At 41.3% G+C, this 22,473-nt stretch overlaps 1 protein-coding gene across 1 annotated transcript in view, besides 1 other annotated feature; it reads left to right on the top strand.

Moving 5' to 3' along the window:
• The window catches only part of C12orf75 (chromosome 12 open reading frame 75), a 40,828-nt gene that overhangs the window by 1,752 nt on the left and 16,603 nt on the right, over positions 1-22,473 (top strand). Inside the window, exon 2 of the mRNA NM_001145199.2 lies at positions 16,160-16,184. Within this exon, the coding sequence (NP_001138671.1) occupies positions 16,160-16,184 (25 nt within the window). The remainder of the gene's footprint in view (positions 1-16,159; positions 16,185-22,473) is intronic.
• Positions 11,311-11,867: an enhancer, noted in NCBI's record as "OCT4-NANOG hESC enhancer chr12:105737531-105738087 (GRCh37/hg19 assembly coordinates)". NCBI's record gives its function as "activates a minimal SCP1, AML or CMV promoter by ChIP-STARR-seq in naive H9 embryonic stem cells {active_cell/tissue: H9 hESC(naive)}" and the evidence as "EXISTENCE:reporter gene assay evidence [ECO:0000049][PMID:30033119]".

Below are 22,473 nucleotides of genomic sequence, written 5' to 3' on the forward strand. Positions count from 1 at the left end.
TGATGGACCAGGCGCAGTGACTCATGCCTGTGTAATCCCAGCACTTTGGGAGGCTGGGGTGGGTGGATCATCTGAGCTCAGGAACTCGAGACCAGTGTAACCAACATGGTGAAACCCAGTCTCTACTAAAAATACAAAATTAGCTGGGCGTGGTGGCGCCTGCTTGTAATCCCAGCTATTTGGGAGGCTGAGGCACGAGAATTGCTTGAACCTGGGAGGCGGAGGTTGCAGTGAGCTGAGATCGCACCATTGCACTCCAACCTGGGCAACAAGAGTGGAACTCCGCTCCATCTAAAAAAAAAAAAAAAGAAAAGAAAAGAAAATAGAAAGATGGTAAGGTATGATGAGCTAGCTCTAAAATGTTAATGTAAAAATCAAATTTGGGGGGAAAATATGATTTCTTGGGGAAATATGATTATCTTTATGAATATTTGATTGACTTTTTCCCTAGGAGCATCTCTCTTATCACCTAAAGGGAAGTCATATTGAAAAAAAAAAAAAAAGCTACCGAAAGAGTAGTTTGAGGAGCAGCCTCACTTTTGTTTGTGGACAGTGCATGTGAGAGCATGCTATTCTCTCCTCCAGCTTGCTGTTTGCCAAAAATTACTTTTTGTTCAGAGGAGAGAAGGATATTGAGTGCAGATTCAAAACATGCAGGAGACAACATGATGAGCAGGGAGTTATTGCATCACCTCTTTGATGGATATGCCCTTGTCTTGGAGAAGCCATTCCCAAACATTTGCCTGCCTGTGAGTCCACCTGGCTGACTTTGGGATTTGGTCATTGTTATTTTGAAATGTTCTGTCAGTTGGTGTTAGGAATTTAGGTTCAGAGAGGAAATACATCAGGATGAGAGATGTAAAGAAAAATAAACCACAATGCAAAGGTACTGAAAATCTCAGCTGTGAGCTTGGGCATCAGCGTCAATTGCACTGTTGACCAAGCTGCACACTAGGAGGACTGAACCCGAGCAATACGAAACGCGTTAAAGAGATATTGTCTTTCTCTTCTAGTTACTTACAGTGCACTACTTCCAATATGTCCCAGGAGTCATAGAATTCAGTAGCCATACAAACTTTTCAGAAAAAAAAAATGTACAAAGAGATTGTAGAAAGGGTGCTGAACTTAAGAGTCTGGACAGTGAGCTTAAGCTTAGGTTTGGTGCTGTGCTGTTTGCATTATTGTGGGTGTTTCATTTTACTTTTTTGAATTTTGGTTTCTTTGTTTATATAATGGGAATAATTCGGTGTATCTTGTTTCATAAGGCTCATGTGAAACTCAAAAATAACATGAAAGCACACTGTAAACTGTAATTATTACTATATAATAATATTATTATCACCATTTTGAAGGCAAAGTGGTTTTCCTTGAATATTTTTCTATAAGAACATGGCAAATATTTTTTGATGCATTAACATATTATTACAATACCCCTAAATCTGAAATCTCCATTCTGAGCCCTGTTTTACTTTTTGAGTTACTCAGGTAAACTGGATAATTGTTTCCCCTTTCCCTGAGATAGCAGGATGGCTGCCTCTCTTGGCTTTTGTCTGGTGGACTTGGTTAACATGACAGATTGATATGCAGTAGTGTACTTGAGTTAAGTGGATTCCGTATGCCTGATGCATGGAGAAACTGGTATGGAGTAAAAGGGTCAAGTGGCCATAAGGAGTAGTGAGATGGATCAGCCCCTTGATAATTCTGGGTAGACTTGCCCCTGGAGTATGTTTCTATTAATAACTGTAAGCTTACACATCGTCCACCCCTATGTGGGACCTCCTCTGCTGGGAACTTCTAGGGCAACGCTGGGGGCAGCCAGCAATGGATGTTTGTAGAATGAAGTCAAACTTTGTTGCTCTTGAGAAATTGATAGTCTAGGTAGGAAGATTAAGCAATTGAGAATCACTGCAAAGCAGTGGATAATAGAATATAATCTGGACCTTCAAGTTTCCAGGAGATATTGAATGACACAGTTAAATCAGAGAAGTCCTCCTGGAGGAGTTGAGCTGGGGGTCTAGATGGAAATGTGAGAGGCATTTTGAGTACACAAAAGCTCTCCACTTTCACATTTTGATATCATCACTCTCTCAAGGTAGGAATTTGATTTTTCCCAACCTGCAACTATATAAAGGATGCAGCATATTTTTTCTGCATGGTCTGGAGTCTAGACCCCAAATTATGGAGAAACATCGGGATTGAATAGTTCATTTTAAAGTGTCACATTTGTTATAAGGCAGGGAGCTTTTGCACTCTCGCTCACTCTCACTCTTTCTCTGCAGTCAGATTCTTTACTCACTTGTTTTTCCCCCGAGCATGTCTCCGGACTAGGCAGAGAAATGACCAACCTTGCATTCTGAGTTAATGATGTCAGCAGGTTGGTCATTCCCTTTTATATAGTCACATTCATATAGACTATGAAGCAAGTCTTTGTAATGTAAATCAGAAATTCCTTTTTATGTAAACCAGAAAATCCCTTAAAAGTTTGGATAGTTCCCCATATCTACAGTAGTCTATTTTAATGCAGGCTAAGGCTGTAGAAATTATTTGCAGCAGGAGTTATCTCAGAAATATTCAGCTCATGATATTTGGTTAAATTGGTTAGTTGAATTTTTTCTGCCAGAGATATGTAATTGGTAACTGATCTTAACTTTGCAGGCAACTTACTGTCAGAATGTTTCCATAATAGTTTTCTGCTGTTTATGTAACAATAGTCCGAGGGGGAGGAGCTTGATAATTATTTACCCTATTTTATCAGTGTATCCCAGGGAGTTAATACAATCCTTTTGGGCCCAATATTTTAGATTAGTTATGTCCTTGTCCTCAATTAGCTAGATAATTGCATTCTTTTGAGGTAGCTATATTGGTCCAGGCTTAATTACATCTGTAAATGGTTTGGTAGTATTGAAATGATACAGCTCTGTTTAGCAATAGTGCAAGATTTGTGGGGGAAATAATGTAAAAATAATACAAAATTTTGTTGATATCATTTTTATCTTGCACTACTCCCCTTTCCCCACAAGTATGTACCATCCTTCTTTCTATTCTTTAAACATGCTGAACTCATTCTTGTTTTCTCTCTGTGGGAAACACTTTTTTGCTGGAGAGCTGATACTATGTTTATTTCTTGTCTCCTTTCCCCTCCCCCAAATGGAGGCCTCATGAAAGCCTATACATTTTGTTTACGGCTGTATCCTCAGCCTCTAGACTAGTTTCCACATTTTTAATGGAACTCACTCTTGTTTTCTCTCTGTGTGAAACACTTTTTTGCTGGAGAGCTGATACTATGTTTATTTCTTGTCTCCTTTCCCCTCCCACAAATGGAGGCCTCATGAAAGCCTATACATTTTGTTTACAGCCATATCCTCAGCCTCTAGACCAGTTTCCACATTTTAAATGGATTTTTTGGTTCTTGAAATATATTTGTTGAATGAATGAGTATATTTGGGAAACAAAAAAGATTCAAAATGAAGTCCTAAGTTGGTGTGGGCACACTGTACTGATGTAGCAATTGAGTGAAGAAAATAGAACCTCAGGAAGTCAGGGAAGCCTGCATGGAGGAAGTGGAACTTGATTTGGGTTTGAAGAATAGCGTGGAGGAAGTGGAACTTTATTTGGCTTTGAAGAATAGGTAAGATTTGGATAGCAGAAAATGGAAGGCAGGTCATTTTTAGTGCTGTAGGAAGTCCTAGAGACAGAAATGGGCTTGGCGCATTTCAGGTTAGTAAGAAGTCTAGCCTGATTGGATGTAGTCGTTCACATTGGTTGCAGGGTATTGGGAAGAAAGAATGGTTAGGATACGGGACGAGGAGGACAGAAAGGCACTGAGGCCACAGAGTTGAGAGTGGGCTCTGCAGCTAAAAAGGCCAAGTACAAATCCTACATTTGCCATTCATCATTTGTATGACCTTGGGCAATTTGCTGAGGCTGTCTGTTCCTTAGGTTCCTTGACCATAAAATGGGGGTGTAATAAGAGAGCCTATTGTAGATTCAGTGAGTTAATGTGTGTAAAGTGTTTAGAACAGTGACTCGTATATTGTAAGTACCCAATATACTACTTGTTATCAGTATAGGGAAAGACACAGCTGGTGTAGAAGGAAGGCGTGAGCCACTGAAGGCGTGTACGTATAGAAGTGGCATCATTCACAGCTGCTGTCTGCGCTCAGAGAAGTGCTGAGGGCCTGGATCATGGCTGTGGGCCCTGAGGGGTAGAAGCGTTGAGGTCACAGATACGTGGAAGACAGTTGAGCTAAAGAGAGGCTGCAGATGTGGGATGAAGGAAGAGGGAGAGGTAAAAATTAAACTGTTAGAGCCTGGGTAACTGGAAGGAGGTTGCTACTCACTCTAAAAGTAAGGTAGTAAGGGGCAGGTGATCAACATACTCGACTGTACCATGTTTGAAGTGATGATGAATAAAGAGAGGTGTGGAGACCCCTCTGCTCAGGTAGTAATCATTGGTGAGACAGAACCAAGAAGCTCTGTGCATCATTCGCTTGCTGTGTCTCCCCAGAATTGATGGCATCCAAAGCGAGTGATTGATTTCTGCCATTGTCACAGCCTGGTAGGTTCTTTTTGCCCACTGCCCCAAACAAAACCAGCACGGGCCGGGCACGGTGGCTCACACCTGTAATCCCAGCACTTTGGGAGGCTGAGGCAGGTGGATCACCTGACGTCAGGAGTTTGAGACCAGCCTGGCTGACATGGCGAAACCCCATCTCTACTAAAAATACAAAAATTAACCAGGCGTGGTGGCGCACACCTGTAATCCCAGCTGCTTGGGAGGCTGAAGTGGGAGAATTGCTTGAACCCAGGAGGGTTGCAAGTGAGGCTGCAGTGAGCAGCCTGGGTGACAGAGCAAGATCCTGTCTTAAAAAACAAACAAACAAACAAAAACCAATGAGAACAGCAGTTTTTGTGGCAAATAAAGAGTTTAATCATTTCAGGGCTGGCCAAGTGAGGAGAGCAGAGAGAAATTTCTCAAACCTGTCTCTCTGAGAATTCGGAGGCTAGGGTTTCTTAAGGGGACTCTGGTAGGCAGGGGGTTACTGGGGAATTGGAACAATTGATTGGCTGGGGATGAGGTCATAGGGGCATCTAAAACATCTTTGGGCAGTAAAGTCAGTTCCCAGGAAAGGGTTGGTTCTCAGAACCAGGTGGCATCTCTTGATCTACCAAAATGTGAAATCTGAAAACTATGTCAAAGGCCAGGTCTTTAGGTTTCACAATACTGATGTTATCTATAGGAGTATTTGGGGAAGTTGGAAATCTTGTAACCCCTGGTTACGTGACTCTAGTGCAGTAAGCAACTTATAGGAAAGCATGCTAAACAATAGCGGGTCATTGTTTATGCCTATTTTTTAGTAAAGTTTAAGCCCCTACCAGAATTTTAACCTTGCCATATGAATGCAGCTTTGATCTTTGAACAAGGATGGGGTATGGTGGGGGGTGGGGTCAGTTTTCCTTGCTTCAAAGTGTAACTATAAACTAAATTCCTCTCATAGTTATCTTGGCTTCCATGTTAGAGTAAGAGAAAAAAAACCTATGAAATTAAAAGCAAAGCAAAATAGAGTCAGTTATATTAAATTTCTCTCATTATTTATAATTCAGCAAAGGCAGTTTTACCATGAGCCACTTATAGCTCCATATAGACATGGCTTAAATTTTATTATATCAGCTAAATGTCAGTGCACTAACTTATGCCTGTACTTCTTATATGGCTGCATTTATCTTTCATTTATTTATTTATTTATTTTGAGATGGAGTCTTGCTCTGTCACCCAGGATGGAATGCAGTGGCATGATCTCGGCTCAGTGCAACCTCCACCTCCCAGGTTCAAGAGATTTTCCTTCCTCGGCCTCCCGAGTAGCTGGGATTACAGGCATGCACCACCGCACCCAGCTAATTTTGTATTTTTAGTGGAGATGGGGTTTCACTGTGTTGGCCAAGCTGGTCACAAATTCCAGACCTCAGGTGATCCACCCGTCTTGGCCTCCCAGAGTGCTGGGATTACAGGTGTGAGCCACTGCGCCTGGCCATTTTTTGGTTTTTACTTGCCTAAAGTATAGCTGCTTGTCTTAGTTCATTTTTGTGTTGCTATAAAGGAATACCTGAGACGGGGTAATTGATAAAGAATAGAGGTGTATTTGGCTCGTGGTTCTGCAGCCTGTACAAGAAGCATGGCACCAGCATCTGCTTCTGCTGAGGGCTTCAGGCTGCTATCATTCATGGTAGAAGGTAAAAGGGAGCCATAGTGTGCAGAGATCACATGGCAAGAGTGGAAGCAGTAGAGAGAAGGGAGGGAGGTGCCAGGCTCTTGCTAATGACCAGCCAGCTCTCATGGAAACTAATACAGTTAGAGCCCACTTGTTACCACCAGCCATTCATGAAGGATCTGCCCCTATGGCCCAAACACCTCCCATTAGACCCCACCCCCATGAGATTTGGAGGGGACAAACAAACCAAACTCTAGCACTACTCAACAAGGACGACCTATAAAAATGAGATTTTCTATAAGAGCTTCCATTTTCATTGACATAATTTTATGTCAATATATAATTTTATATTTCTAGGACACATTGACCTGAATTTTTTTCCTCCATTATTTGAAGAAATCACTTATGAATCTGTATTTTTTTATTGCACTCTGAAAAATAAGCATTGCTTTGGATGAAGTAATGAGCTGTTGTTCCATTTCTTTTGGCCAAACCAAGACTATGACATAGTTTTATAACTATTGTGGGTCAGAAGAGCATAGCAAGCTGTCAAAATTAAAGAGAATTTTATTTATTTTTCTGCAGTTATATTTATATAGTTCTCGGAGGGACTGTTTCTTTTCTAAAACAAATAAGGAGTAAGACATTCTTGCATGTTTTTATTATTTCCCATAAGAACCATAGGCATTTATGTTTCTGATAATTTATGCTGAAAGAAGAGTGCTTTTTAAATCTTCAGTATTTTTTTTTTTTTTTTACAAATTCTTCACATACATAATTTTATTTCGGGTGTGTGTGTGTGTGAATTATCACCACTTGGTTTGAAGAATGTAACTTAATATGTAACTTAGCAATTCATTTACCTGTGAATATTTCTAGTATATTTTATAAAGTCTAGAGTCTATATAGTATGGTGGTCATAAAAGGTATTAATGGACTAAAATGTATATGACCTTTTCTTTCTTTCTTTCTTTCTTTTTTTTTGAGACGGAGTCTTGCTCTGTCACTCAGGCTAGGTGCAGTGGCGTGATCTCCGCTCACTGCAAGCTCCGCCTGCCGGGTTCATGCCTTTTTCCCGCCTCAGCCTCCCGAGTAGCTGGGACTATAGGCGCCCGCCACCACGCTCAGCTAATTTTTTGTATTTTTAGTAGAGACGGGGTTTCACTGTGTTAGCTAGCTAGGATGGTCTCGATCTCCTGACCTCGTGATCCACCCACCTCAGCCTCCCAAAATGCTGGGATTACAGGCGTGAGCCACCATGCCTGGCCCTTGTTTCTTTTAAAAGATAAAAGTATGTTCTTCATAATAGACTTTGGCATTTGGGAGGAAATACTCACATCAATAAATGTTTGAATCTGTATAATACTGAAGACATGCTGGACAGTATGATTCATGGTTTTTAATGTATACGACAGGCTGATTAGCTCTCAAAGGACCATCTGTCTGTAGGAACCAAGATATTGTGTCCATCTACTTAAAATTACTCAATGCAGGTGGGGCGTGGTGGCTCACGCCTGTAATCCCAGCACTTTGGGAGGCAGAGGCGGGTGGATCACAAGGTCAGGAGATCAAGACCATCCTTGCTAACACAGTGAAACCCCATCTCTACTAAAAATACAAAAAATTAGCCGGGCGTGGTGGCATGCGCCTGTGGTCCTAGCTACTTGGGACGCTGAGGCAGGAGAATCGCTTCGACCTGGGAGGCGGAGGTTGCAGTGAGCCGAGATCGTGCCACTGCAATCCAGCCTGAGCAACAGAGTGAGACTCCGTGCCCCCGCCAAAAAAAAAAAAAAAAAAAATTTACTCAGTGCAGTATCTTGTAGCTGGCTTGTGTTATCATTCACGAGGAATAAAGTTCCGTTTGTGTCGTGCATGATACATATATTACATTTAGTTTCCCTCCAGATACTCATTTTGCTCTGTATTTTAAAAGAGAGTATTTTTTGGAGACAGGGAAGGACAAAGATAAGAAGGTCTAGTGGGTTGAATGGTAGCCCCCAAAAAGATATGTCCATGTTCTCTTTTCTGCAGTGAGTGAATGCAACCTTATTTGGATAAAGGATCTTTGCAAATGTAATAAAGTTAAGGGTTTTGAGATGCGGAGATTATACTAGATTATCTGAGTAGGCTCTAAATCCAATGAGAAGGGTGTTTATGAGAGACACAAGATGAGAAGACGGACATAGAAGGGAAGGTGATGTGAAAATGGAGGTGGAGCAGAGATGATGGGGCCACAAGCCAAGGAATGCTTGCTGCACCAGAAGCCAGGAGAGGCATGGAATGGGTGCTTCCCTAAGGCCTCTGGAAGGAGTTTGGATCTGCTGAGACCTTGATTTTGTACTTCTGGCCTCCAGATCTATGAGTGCATAGATTTCTGTTGTTTAAACCACCCAGTTTGTGGTAATTTGTTACAGCAGCCATGTGAAACGAAGACAATATTTTTCTGCAGTAGTTCAGAAATGAGACAAAATCAGAATATAAGAAAATGTATTAAACTGTATACCTGGAGTATAAATAATTCTTTGCTTAAATAAACACAGCATGATGCAATCTTGGTGTGATTCATAAAGCCCTTCAAGACTGTTCAGAACCTTAACCACTACTAGGACACATACAATTTTTGTATGAAACATAAAGAATGTCTGAGAGGTTTTTTTTTTCCCCCGTTTCCTGACACCTAATTCTTTGACACCAAGTGTCCTGCAATTCAATTCAATTCTAACACTACCTGGAGTTAGTGTCAGCCTCCACAGGTTTAGTGGGTCGGTCCCACAAGACTGCCCTCCCTTCAGACTCTAGTTGCAAATATTGCGCTTCCAGGTTGCCACACTTCTGTCAGCTATAGATTTGGGGGTCTTCACAAATCTCTTCAGGCTCAATGATTTGCTAGAATAGCTCACAGGACTCAGGAGGACACTTTCCTCATGTTTACTGTTTGATCATAAAGGGTCTGAATGAACAGCCAGTGGAAGAGGTACTTGGGGAAGTCTGGAAGTGTCCCAAGTGCAGAAGCCTCTGGCCCCAGTGGAGTTGGGCTATACCACAGTCCTGATGGGTAGATAAGTTCACCAACCTGGAAGCTCACTGAATCCAGTAATATGGTTTGGCTGTGTCTCCACCCAAATCTCACCTTGAATTGTAGTAATCCCCACATGTCAAGGGCTGGGCCAGATGGAGGTAACTGAATCATGGGGGTGGTTCCCCCATACTGTTGTCGTGGTAGTGAATAAGTCATGAGATCTGATGGTTTTATAAATGGGAGTTCCCCTGCACAAGCTCTCTTGCCTGCTGCCATGTAAGATGTGACTTTGCTCCTCCTTTGTGTTCCACCATGACTGTGAGGCCTCTGCAGCCATGTGGAACTGTGAGTCAATTAAGCATGTTTCCTTTATAAATTACCCAGTCTAGGGTATGTCTTTATTAGCAGCATGAGAACAGACTAATACATCCAGTTATTTTGAGGTTTTCGTAGGTGCTGTGGTTTGAGTGCGTTCCCCAACATGTGTTGGAAATTTAATACCCAATGCAGTAGTGTTGGGAGGTGGGACCTAATAAGAAGTGATTAGGGCTTGAGGGCTCTGCTCCCATGAATGGATTAATGTGTTTAATCATAAATAAACTGGGGGACGAATGGAATGGGTTGGTTATTGAGAGAGTGGGCTGGTTATTGAGAGAGTGGGTTGCTGTAAAAGCAAGTTTGGCCCCTTCTTGCGCTCTTGCTGTCTTGCCCTTCTGCCTTCCCACATGGGATGAAGGAGCATAAAGGCCCTCACCAGATGTGAGCCCCTCAATCTTGGACTTCCCAGCCTCTAGACTGTAAGAAATACATTTTATTTTCTTTATAAATTATCCAGTCTGTGGTATTCTATAACAGCAACACAAAAAGGACCAAGACACAAGCATGGCTGGTTAAATCCTTTGCCACTGGTGATTAACTCAATCTCCAGCCTCTCTCCTCTCTCTGCAGGTGGCAGGGTGGAGCTCAATGTTCCAAGCTTCTAATCAAGGCTTGGTCTTTCTAGCAAACAGCCCCCATCCTGAAGCCATATAGGGGCTTGGCCAAGAGTCATCTCATTAGAAGCCTCACAGAGAGGCTCCTGTCACTCATCACTCAGGAAATTCCAGGGGTTTTAGGAGCTCTGTGCCAGGAACCAGGGGCAAAGACCAAATATCTTATGATGAAACTGCAATATCAGATTAAGTTTTTTGAATGTTTGAATAGATGGGATTTGCTATGCATTTTTAATTAACTGAGACTTCTGTCATTGAGACTGATGAATAAAATGTTAAAATCTTCTGAAATGTGGAAAGTAAAAGCTAAACAGAGCCAAGGTGAGATGAAGTGATACTGTAAACAACCAACAGTGATGGAAATGTCCTTCTTTACATTCTATTTACAATTTTTATTACTGAAACTGCATATAATACTTTCCTGAGAACAAACCTTTCCCCTCTCCATTTTTAGGAAGATATTTAAAATTATGATTATCATTTCTACAGTTTTGGGAAATAGTCATTAAATCTTTTGACCCCCTCCCCTCCAAATTATAATAGTCTCTCTATATTTTTTGGTGTGTTTTTTTTCCCCACAAGAAACATTGTTACCTTTTTTTCATTTCTACTTCTCCTGAGGCCCTAGGCCCATTGTATTAACCCACCAAGGTTATGTTTAAACAGTAAGGAGCCAATTTGGCAGGACATGAAGTGGTATTAGGATGAATGATGTATCCTTGTGGCCTGGAAAAAAATAGATGTAACATTATACATATTTGCTTAATAAATGATAAAGCACATGAACCACAGATACAGTTTAAAGCAAATGGGATCTTGCCACTATCTAATTTTGATCAAAGCACTTTTTGCATAATTACTTAGATTAGGGATTGCCATTTGGTTAATTACAATAAATATATAAGCAAAGTGTAATTAAAAGGTTGCAGTGAGGGTAATTTTATTTCTGATCATTTTATGATTTTATACTTTTACAGGACAAATAAACTTATGCTTTGCATTTTATGTACCTAGGTACTCTGATAGTTTTGTTTAGGGTTTCCAACATTTGCAACCTTTTTTTTTTTCTTTTGGGAAGTTGTGTGTTAGGGAGTCATATTCTCATTACCCTGGTTACAAGCTTCTCAGTAACCACCATGTTACCTTGCTTCTAAGATGCACATTTTCCTATTAAAAAATGGAGCACATTTTACAATCATACACACACACAGACACACACACACTTCTTGGAGTGTTTCTGACTTCTTTGCCCCACCCCTACCATTGCAGTTATTCAGTTGATGATGCCCTTTCAAATGAGGGCCATTTTAGAACAGAGGGAATGGTCTGTTGACTTTGTTTTAAATGGTGGCACCATGCATCTCCCTTGGGCCTGCTGGGATGTTAAATGGTGAGCCCAGCAGGGAGGAGGCCCTTGATGGTGCCCATAGCTTGGTGCAATCAAGGTGAAGTGGATGGAGAGTTCCTGATGCTGATTAAAATAAGCACTGAATGCACAACATGTGGCCATTTGTAAACTCATTTCTCATTTCACACACGTTACTGTGCTTTGCCTTCCTAGCTGCATTTGTTGGCCCAGTATGTCCTCATTTACTAGATGCTGAAACAAAGTGATTTAGTGACTGTCAGACAAATACTGGCATAGGGATCCGACTCCAGTCATCTGCCTTCTGATTCCACACTGTTCTTACCCCATCACCGTTCTGCCATCCCTGAGATGTAGCAGGGCAGCCTTGGCCACTCTCTTCTTCCTGTGGATTGTACTAGGTCACCCCTCATCTTTAAATGTTGAGGACTCGGCCGGGTGTAGTGGCTCACATCTGTAATCCCAGTACTTGGGGAGGCCAAGGCAGGTGGATCACTTGAGGTCAGGAGTTCAAGACCAGCATGGCCAACATGGAGAAACCCTGTCTCTACTAAAAATACAAAAACAGTTAGCTGGGTGTTGTGGCAGGTGCCTGTAATTCCAGCTACTCAGGAGGCTGAGGCAGGAGAATCGCTTGAACCCAGGAAGCAGAGGTTGTGGTGAGCCAAGATTGTGCTGCCGCACTCCAGCCTAGGCAACAGAGTGAGACTCTGTGTCAAAAAAAAAAAAAAAAAAAGTTGAGGACTCATGGTCCACATTATAATCATTGTTTTCTTCCCTCTGTAAGACTTGCAGAGTCAAAGGCTCATCTCTGGTTCTCCCTTGCCCTGACTCCAGCAAAACCCAAACATACTCTTTATCCTTTTCCACAAAAATAAAAAAATAAAAGCTAAAAAGATATTATTTTCTTTTTAGACGTAAGCTGAAAATTCTAAGCCCCCCCCCAACCAATTAAATGGACCCCTTCTCTTGGCCAAGGTAATTCCTAAGTTAACCTGCAAAACTAGGTCAGGCCATGATGGGAAGTGGGGATTGGACATGCCTCATTATACCCTCTTCCCTTTGAAATTCAGGCACAACTGACCAGCATTTAACATTAAAACAGACCTTAAGACTGACAAAGCAGACTCTTTGTAGCAGTAAGATACCAACATGACAGCAGGCTCTGAAAGAAGTCAGGCCAGGTGTGGTGGCTCATGTCTGTAACCCTAACACTTTGGGAAGCTGAGGTGATTGGATTGCCTCTGCTCAGGAGTTTGAGACCAGCCTCGGCAACATGGTGAAACCCTGTCTCTATTAAAAAATACAAAAATAAGCCAGGCGTGGTGGTGCACGCCTGTAATCCCAGCTACTCAGGAGGCTGAGGCAAGAAAATAGCTTGAACCCAGGAGGCGGAGGTTGCAGTGAGCCAAGATGGCACCACTACACTCCAGCCTGGGTGGCAGCATAAGACTCCAAAAACAAATATAAAAAAAAAAGAAGTCAAAGTATTTTACCCCAAAATATATTTCTTTGACATAAATTTTGAAATGTCAAGCAAAGCTGTCGTTTGTGGGGGGAAATCTGTATTCTGTAGATAAATTCTCTTCCTTTTCCAGGTCTTTTTCCTGATCTTGAATTAGTGTCTGGCCTTTTTTTTTTTTTTTTTTTTGAGACAGAGTCTTGCTCTGTTGCCCAGGCTGGAGTGCAGTGGTGCAATCTCAACTCAATGCAACCTTTGCCTCCTGGGTTCAAGCAATTCTGCCTCAGCCTCCCAAGTAGCTGGGATTATAGGCGCCCACCACCACACCTGGCTAATTTTTGTATTTTTTTTTTAGTAGAGATAGGGTTTCACCATGTTGGCCAGGCTGGTCTCAAACTCCTGACCTCAGGTGATCCACCCACCTCGGCCACCCAAAGTGCTGGAATTACAGGCGTGAGCCACCGTGCCCGGCCTAGCACTTTTTTAAGTCTGATAAGAAACATTTAAAGAAGCTTCATCTGCAAAATAAAACCTTGGGTCTCCAAAATCCCTTATCTTAACTCAAGACAATTCCAGGAATCAATTGATTCCAGATCTTTAAATAAACTCTTTCAACCAATTGCCAATCAGGAAATCTTGGAATCCACCTATCACCTGGAAACAACCCCCCACACCCCCACCACTTTTGAGTTGTCCCGGACCAAACCAGTGTACATCGTACAGGTATTGATTGGCCTCTTATGTCTCCCCATAACGTATGAAACCAAGTTGTAGCCTGAGCACCTTGGACACGTGTTCTCCAGACCTTCTGAGGCTGTATCACAGGCATTCCTTAACCTTGGCAAAATAAACTTCTAAATTGATTGAGACCTATCTCAATACTTTTTGATTTACACAGATTTTCTTCTAGATTCTCATGCTTGACTCTAAAATAAAACGTTCATTTTCACGGGTGTATGGTGGCACTAATTTTTGTTAATTTTTTTCTATCAAAAACACTCTACTGTTGGCAGTTTTTCCTGTGTTAAGATTTTTTTTTAAGTTTAGGATCTTTTGGTTTAATAATCTCTGATTCTAAAGTAGTTTACATAATGTATCATTTTAACAGTAATGGTGGCACAGAAATGTTCTTCCCTGAAGAAAGGAACTAAGATTATTACAAAGTTTAGGTTTAGTCAAAGCCTTAAAAGAATTCGTTTGAGACATAGCCTCAATTATCTTTAGGATCAGCTTTTAATTTGCAGTATTACAGATGCAAAATGAATATCATTGTTTGATTGTTCTTGCAATTTGGCAATAACTTTACCCACAGACTTATTTACTTACTTTGTAGCACATCTTCCTTTATTTTTACACCTCTGTGACTTGTGCAGAAGTTATTTTAATTTCTATTTAATATATATCGAAATTGAAATATTAAGTGTGACGTCTAATAATAACTTAGTTTGCTATTTTTATGTGCCAGCTTTGTGTTAAGTGTTTACATTGTCTTTTTACACATTGTCTTTTTAAATCTTCACAATAACCTTTGAGAAAGATACCTTTTACCCTCATTTGACATAAGGGAGGTGAGGTTTTAAGAGGTTAAAGGATGCTTAATACCATATATCTTGTAGGAGTTGGAACCAAGTCCTGTGCCTCCCAGATAAAGATATTGGGAGGAGGAAATGTGGGCAGAGAATCTGCGAGAAGTAATGGGGATGGAGACCAGAAGAGATGAGCTGTTTTTGTCACATGGGTGGTGTATTAGGGTTCTCCAGAGGGAGAGAACTAATAGGATAGATGAATGTATGAAGGGGAATTTATTAAGGAGGACTGACTCACATGATCATTAGGTGAAGTTTCACAATAGGCCGTCTGCAAGCTGAGGGGCAAGGAAGCCAGTCCGAGTCCCAGAACCTCAAAAGTAGGGAAGTCAACAGTGCAGTCTTCAGTCTATAGCTGAAGGCCCATGAGCCCCTGGCAAACTACTGGTCTAAGTCCAAGAGTCTGAAAGCTGAAGAACATGGAGTCCGATATTCGAGGGCAGGAAGCATCCAGCATGGGAGACAGATGAAGGCCAGAAAGCTCAGCAAGTCTGCTCTTTCCACCTTCTTCTGCCTGCTTTATTCTAGCTGTGCTGATAGCTGATTAGATGGGGCCCACCCAGATTAAGTGTGGGTCTGCCTCTCCCAGTCCACTGACTCAAATGTTAATCTCCTTTGTCAGCACCCTCACAGACACAGCCAGGAATAATACTTTGCATTCTTCAGTTCAATCAAGTAGACGCTCAGTATTAACCATCACAGATGGGAAGCCAATGGGAGCAGAGTTAGAGATGCATGTGACTCTTTTTGGAGCTAGGCTGGTGTGTTTGAGGCTTCCTAATTAATTTAGTCCATTGCTTGCATTAGCGCACAGTTTGACTTAACCTGCCGTGCAGACACCAACTTAAAAGGTGTATGGCTTAAAAAAGAAAATGTTTCTCGAAGTCTACCAGTTTTAAAATTCATAAAATGTGAGGTTGGATTAATGTGATCTGTAAAATCTTTTTCAGAACTGGCACCTTGTAATTTACAGGAACTGTTAAAGATGGGTGGAATAGATTCCAAAGCTAAGATTTGAAACTTAAACTAAATTTGAAATTTAAGATTGGAATTTGAGGCCCGGTGCAGTGGCTCATGCCTGTAATCCTAGCACTTTGGGCAATCAAGGTGGGAGGATTGCTTAAGCCCAGGAGTTGGAGAGCAGCCTGGGCAACATGGTGAAACCCCATCTCAAGAAAAAATACAAAAATTAACCAGGCATGGTGGTATGCACCTGTATTCCGAGCTACTCAGGAGGCTGAGGTGTGAGGATCACTTGAGCCCAGGAGGCAGAGGTTGCAGTGAGCCGAGATTGCATCACTGCACTCCAGCTTGGGCAACGAAGTGAGACTGTATCTGAAACAAAAAAAAAAAAAAAAAAAGATTTGAATTTTATGATTTTTTTGCCCTCCTTTCTCTGTTTTTGAAAATTTTTTTAAACCCATTTTCTCTTCAGGAATATTACTGTATTTTAATTAGGTATTAGACAACATTTTTGTAGCAATACTATCACACCAATACAAACCTATCTTCTTTTTTTCTCTAGGCCCTGCAGGAGCAGCCAAAGATGTGTAAGTATTGAATATTAATGATTTTATAAGCTGTCTTTCTGAGGAAGTTGCTGTTTTTCATGATTATGACCTTTAGATCTCTGTGGGTATGGCTGAAAAGACATGGAAATACTTTGTGTATAATGCACATGTCAAGATGATCGTTGTAACTAAAGTGCTATTCAGAGAGGGTTCTTTGTGCTTTTCATTAGCTTTTCAGTTGCCTGGGCACTTTAACTCAGGATCTTAAGAAGGGGAAATGTTGAATTGTGTTTTCCATCCCAACTGGTATAGAGATTTTTTTTTTCTTTTAGTTAAAAGCAAGTGATTATAGGAGAAATAAGCATGTAGCTCCTATGACTACGCAGTGTTTTAGAGTTAGCTGGGGAGGAAAGGCTGGGGCCAAGCAGTTACCAAGTGTACATTGAATTGTTTTAAAGTTGATAACTAGATATTCGAATGAATATATAGGGCCATTCAACATAGTCACCATTGAGCTATCTTTAGAGCACAGGGCATTTAATAATGGGCATCTCCCTGTGGAGAGATCTGGAGCTCAGGAGCATTCAGGATTTCCATGCCCCTTCTCTCTGCATCCTCCTGCCTCTAATCTAGCTATAGCAAGGACACTACAGCAGTTCACTCTTTAAGAGTATTTCTGGTTACCCAGTGAAGGGTGGGATCAACTCTCCCACCCAAAACTGGGTTGGGTGTCAAGACTGATTCACCACATCTCAGGAGGGTGTGGAAAGATGTATTGCTCACATGAGGCTTTCTGGGGAGAGCAGGGCAGCCATCCAAACGGGTCTAGTTTTTATTTTGGTTGGAGAGTGGGCTGGGGTGAGGCTACTTATGAATGGGCAGAGGTTTGATCTTCCTGCTGGCACAGGGAAGAAGTGCCCCCACTTTCTTATTGGCTTACACAGATGTGGGGCAAAAGGGGAGTGATGGGGCTCAAAAGCCTTCAATGGTCAAATACCAAAAATAGGGCCAGGTATGGTGGCGCATGCCTGTAATCCCAGCACTTTGGGAGGCTGAGGCGGGTGGATCACTTGAGGTCAGGAGTTCAAGACCAACCTGGCCAACATGGTGAAACCCTGTCTCTACTAAAAATACAAAAAATTAGCCAGGCATGGTGGTGGGCCCCTGTAATCCCAGCTACTTGGGAGGCTGAGGCAGGAGGATTGCTTGAACTGGGAAGGTGGAGGTTGCAGTGAGCCGAGATCACACCACTGCACTCCAGCCTGGGTGACAGAGCCAGACTCTGTCTCAAAAAAAAGAAAAAAAAGAGTCAGACTTTCTTATTTCTTATTACAAAGAATTTAGAGAAGATGAGAATGGGATTGTAAAGCTTTCTGGGAATTAAATATTTAAATATGCATTTTAAAATTAGGACTTTAGATACAAAGGAAGCAGTAATTGATGGCTTCTAGCTCCTGTTTGCTGTGTTGGAGTTTATTACGTAAACATTTAGCAACAGTGAATACTGCACCCTGACCGTATTCCTATTATTGCAATATTTTGGTTTCTCCTTCAGTCTCTCCCTTCAATTTCTATATGTGTTGCCAGATTAATTTTCCTCAAGCACTGCCCTGCACTTGCATAGGACCTCTGCTCAAAACCTTTCAATTATTCCCATCGTCCTCTGGACTGAACCCAGGATTTATTAGGAATAGGAAGAGCATTTATGTTTTAGCCTCAAACCGACTGGCTCGCATGGCGTGGGAGGAGATGCTACAGTGGAGAGTGAGCAGAGCCCAGGGCTGGGAGGGCTGTGCAGAGCTTCTTCAGGCCACTGTTCTCAGGGGCTTCTGCGACCTCATGCTTCTTGCTCCTGTCCTTGTGTTTTGCTGTGCCCACTGCCTGGAGTGGCCCTTTCCCTTTCCCTTTCTGTTTATAGAAATGACATCTGTTCTGTAGGGCATGTGTGTTATCCTTTGTGAGAAGTATTTCCTGGCTCTCTGAGCTGCATAGTGTGTCTTTCTCCTCAGAACCTTCACAGCATTTTGGACCTTTCTTGTGGGGCATCGTGTTGGGTTTATATCGTAGTTCTTCATGTTCTTGTCTTTTTTCCCTTGAGGATTGAGAGTGGGGCAATACCTTACCCATTTTATTGTGCTCTAGAGTTATTCATGTCATGCTTTGATCATAGTTTGTGTTGAATAAATAGTTGTTGAATCAGTTCCATCATTGCTTTTCAAGGACAGAGTGATTTCATGACATCTTTCTTTTTCTAATAAAATTTAGTGATGATTTTGTCAACAGAATTAACCGTTCCAGGATGCGAGATGCCATTTAACTACTTAACTATTTCACTATTTAGAATCCTGAATTCTTCAGATTTCCCTTGACTATACCTCATTCTATGTCCTATAACTTTAAAATAAAGTAATTTATTAAATAAATGACCTTTTAAAAACAAATGCAGTGGATTTACCTGGAAAAAGTTAAAGAACATTATAATATTACTTTTCCTTACACAAAAGGTATATTCAGGCACGTTCAATTTTTTAAGTGGAAGCTATAGATTTATAAATCTTGACTGTAATATTAGGTGATGCCATGAATGAATGACGAGCTAAGAAATTAAGATGACACTTAATTTTTTTATTATGCACATTAAAATTTTTTTTTAAAATCTAAACAGACTGATTCCCAAACCAGAAGGATTGGCCAAAATAGTAGAATAAGTACTGAGAGTAAAGAACTTAGAATAGGGCAAACACAATATTATGCAGACCACAGGAAAGTCTTTGTGGGAAAATGGTTGTTATTTTTGGAAGCCAGAAATACTATATATTTAAAAAATCAATTCTCTAGGAAAGGTCTGCAATTTTTACTACTCGTTTTTCTTATTTATTTGCTGTTTTCTATAGGTGAGAAGTCAGTATATAATAATAAATAAAATGATGTATCTGTCCTGAAGTAGTTCACTGTCTACTAGGGACCAAAATACAGTGTGGTAAGTGCTAATTATTCCAGTGTTCAGAATTTAATGCTGGTCTTGGAATTGAAGGATGAACAAGAGTTCATGCAGAAAAGGAGAAAAATGGCAACCCATGGCAGAGGACAAGCATGAAAAAAGGCATGGGAGTGCCAGAGGACAGTAGGTCTGGGACCAGCCAGCCAGGTGGTGTCCCCTGGAGCCTGTGCCTGTGGTACAGTCTGGGCAGAAGTGAAAGATGAGGTTGATGGGCAGGGCTGGCTTGTGAAGGGCCTTGGGTGCAAGGCCAATAATCGTGCTTGTTTTTTTTTATGCATTCAAGGGCTGATAGAGATTTTAAGGTGGAGGAATTAAATGATTATGTTTGAGTTTTAGGGCAGTAACTCCCAAAGCAGTGTGACACATGGGATGAGGGAGGGTGCAGGCACAGAGGAATAATGGAAGTGAGGCTACAAGAGGGTCAGATAGCAGAGGGAAAGGAGAAGAGGTGATACAAACAAGATGCATTAGAAAATGTAATTAATAAGATTTGTTTAATGACTGAACGGGGAAGGAAAGGAAAGGAAACTCTGAGGATAATGCTGCAGTCAAACTTGAGCCAAGGGAAGCGATGGCTGATAGTCCAAAGAGGTCATGGGGGGCTGAAGGAGGAAGAGAAGTCATTGCGTGTGTCATGATGGCCACATTGGTCACCCTGGGGACTGTAGTTTCAGTTGAGCAGGGTGAATGATAACCAAGTCAAAGTGGAAGTGAGCCAGGTGCAAGGAAGTGGAGAGAGTGATGTGGGTCTTTGGTTTTTATGCTGTTTGGCGGTAAGGAATGGAGGGATGTTGGTGGCTTTAAGAGGAGGCAAATTTTCAGAATATACTGTATTAGAAAAAGAATACCAAGGAAATTTGGAAAGTACAGGAAAGTATTTTTTAAGAGAAAAATTCAGTTATTATTCTACCACCAGAGACAATCATTATGAACATTTTACACTTTTCTTCAAGTGTTTTTTGGTTGTTTCTGCCCAGTTGTGAGTATGGTTGATTTTGTGTATTGAAGTTTGTTTTTCCTTTTGTCTTTTTTTAAAAATTATTTTTTGGCATGGAGGAGGCATGGATATTGCTGTAGGCTAAAAGACAGGAACCAGGCGAGTAAGAAAAGCTGATGGTGGTTTGGGGAGGGGGTTTCTCTCTGGTGGTGGAGAGAATAACGATGCATGTAAATCCTATGACAGGCTAGAGAACTCAAAACCTAGCTAGGTTAACCTTCAACACTTGAAAGCATGGTTGACAATGTCTAGAAACTTAATCACCATAAGAAAAAGCCTACATGTGTATCAGAAAACAAGCCTATTTTTCCCTCTCTTTCTGTCTCTTTGAAATTAAATCACAGTGCAGTAACACACTGAACAAAACAAACAAAACAGTGAATTCAAGGTAATGACATTCGGCCGCTTTCACAAACCTGCCAACATCAACCATGTTCTTATTTTAGTGTGGCAGATTCTCAGCTATTTGGCACAAATAGGCTGCGTTGGGATATTTTTGGTAGGAAATGGCAGAAGCCCAGTTTAAACTGGCCTAAACAAACAAACACAAAGGAATTTATTGGCATGTGGAGTGGAAAAGCTCCAGGGACTTGGCTGTAGTCACAGCTGGATCCAGGTGATCAAACAACAGGAAGAAATTCTCTTCTCTGCTTTCGTCTTCATTCTTAGGCAGCTTTCCTCAAGTGGTGACAAACAGGACCAGTTTATATCTTATCAGCTTCCTAATTCCTGTGGAAAAAAGCAGCTTCTTTTTCCTTGTAGTTTGATCAAAAGTCCTAGGGCTGGGCTCTCTTGGCCCGTTGGGGTCATGTTCCTATCTCGGAATCAGTCAGTGGGCCAGGAGAATGTGGGGTGCTCATTGGCCAGGCTGCAGTCATGTGCTCACCACTGGAGCCAATCAGTATCATCAGCCCCACCTTACCATATGGCCAAAGAGCAGAAGAGGGGTGATTCCCCACGGAAAAATTGGGATGCCGTTACCAAAAAAAAGGGGAGAAATTGTAAGTGGGCAAACCGAAACAATTGGAATTTAATTGAAAGCATTTTTTTTTGTAGATCAATTTTCGTGTTCTTAAAGAAGTCTTGATTTAAAGCTTAAGCAATATTTATAAGAATATTATGACTACGTTTCAAATAAGAAACAGTATTAAATAAGTTGACTCAAATATAATGTTTGCTGTTGAAAATAAAAAACCATAGCTACTCAATGTAAACAATGTAATTCAAATACTTCTTTCACTTAAAACATGTAAAGTGAATCTTACTGAGATTCTTTCCTTGGTAAAGCTATTTTATTATTATGGAAGGTAGCAAATACAGGGAAAAATATTTTGGAATGAAATGACATAAAACCCATTGGCAATTTGTTTTTGTTTTTGTGTTTGGAAAAAAGAAATGATAAATCTTTTATGTTGAGTTTCTTGGGATCCTTTATAAATTTACCATGTCTAATGCACCCATGTCAGCTGAGCCCTCTCTGCTCCTCATAGATACAGACCTTAGGGTATCTGATGGGCTCTTTTCTCATCCATGTAGTAGAAGGTAACGCTGTCTTCTGAGGGTGAAGAGGATGGGGTTGAAGTAGCATTGAAAAAGCCTGCATTTTGGAAGCAGAGGGACTTGTGTTTAAAATCCCCTTCACCATTTGCTAGCTGTGTTACATTGTGTCCTTAGTATAATTATCTGTGAAATTGGGATAATATAATAACTGTGCAGGGTGATCATCTTCATCATCATCATTCTTACAGTAGTAGCTAATCTTTACTGAGGACTGTGCACCATACACTGATTTCCAGCATTTTCTGTACGTTATCTCCTTCCATACCCATGATAATCTGATGGACAGAATAATGATGTTTCATTTTACAAGTGAGGAGGTGGGGAGCACAGAGAGCTGAAGTAGCTGCTGGAGGGACAGATTACAAATACAGTATATTTAATATCCTAGGAAAATACTTGGCATTATGCTTGTTGCCCCCGGTGAATGACAGCTAGAATTATTAGTTAGTTTAAAATGTTGTTGAAAAAATTTGGCAGGGCCTCTGACATGAATACTTGATGGCAGAAGACCCAGCATATTGAGGGCCTTGCTGTGGTTAGAAATCATATATTCCCATTGGTAGCCATGATGAGATTTTCCTTAGGTCGGACCCTGTGAAATAGGAGCAGGAAGAGAGAGAGCAGATGGACGGATTCATCCAGGGATGGAGAGGAATAGGTGGTGACCAGCAAGTGCTGCAGAAATACTTGACTGCAAGACATGTGCTAGGGAGAGAGGGAAGGGAAACACGAGGGGCTGATGGATAGGGAGGACGGGGAGGGATGGATGA

Source organism: Homo sapiens, chromosome 12, assembly GCF_000001405.40.
Source record: "Homo sapiens chromosome 12, GRCh38.p14 Primary Assembly".
Taxonomy (NCBI): Eukaryota; Metazoa; Chordata; class Mammalia; order Primates; family Hominidae; genus Homo; species Homo sapiens.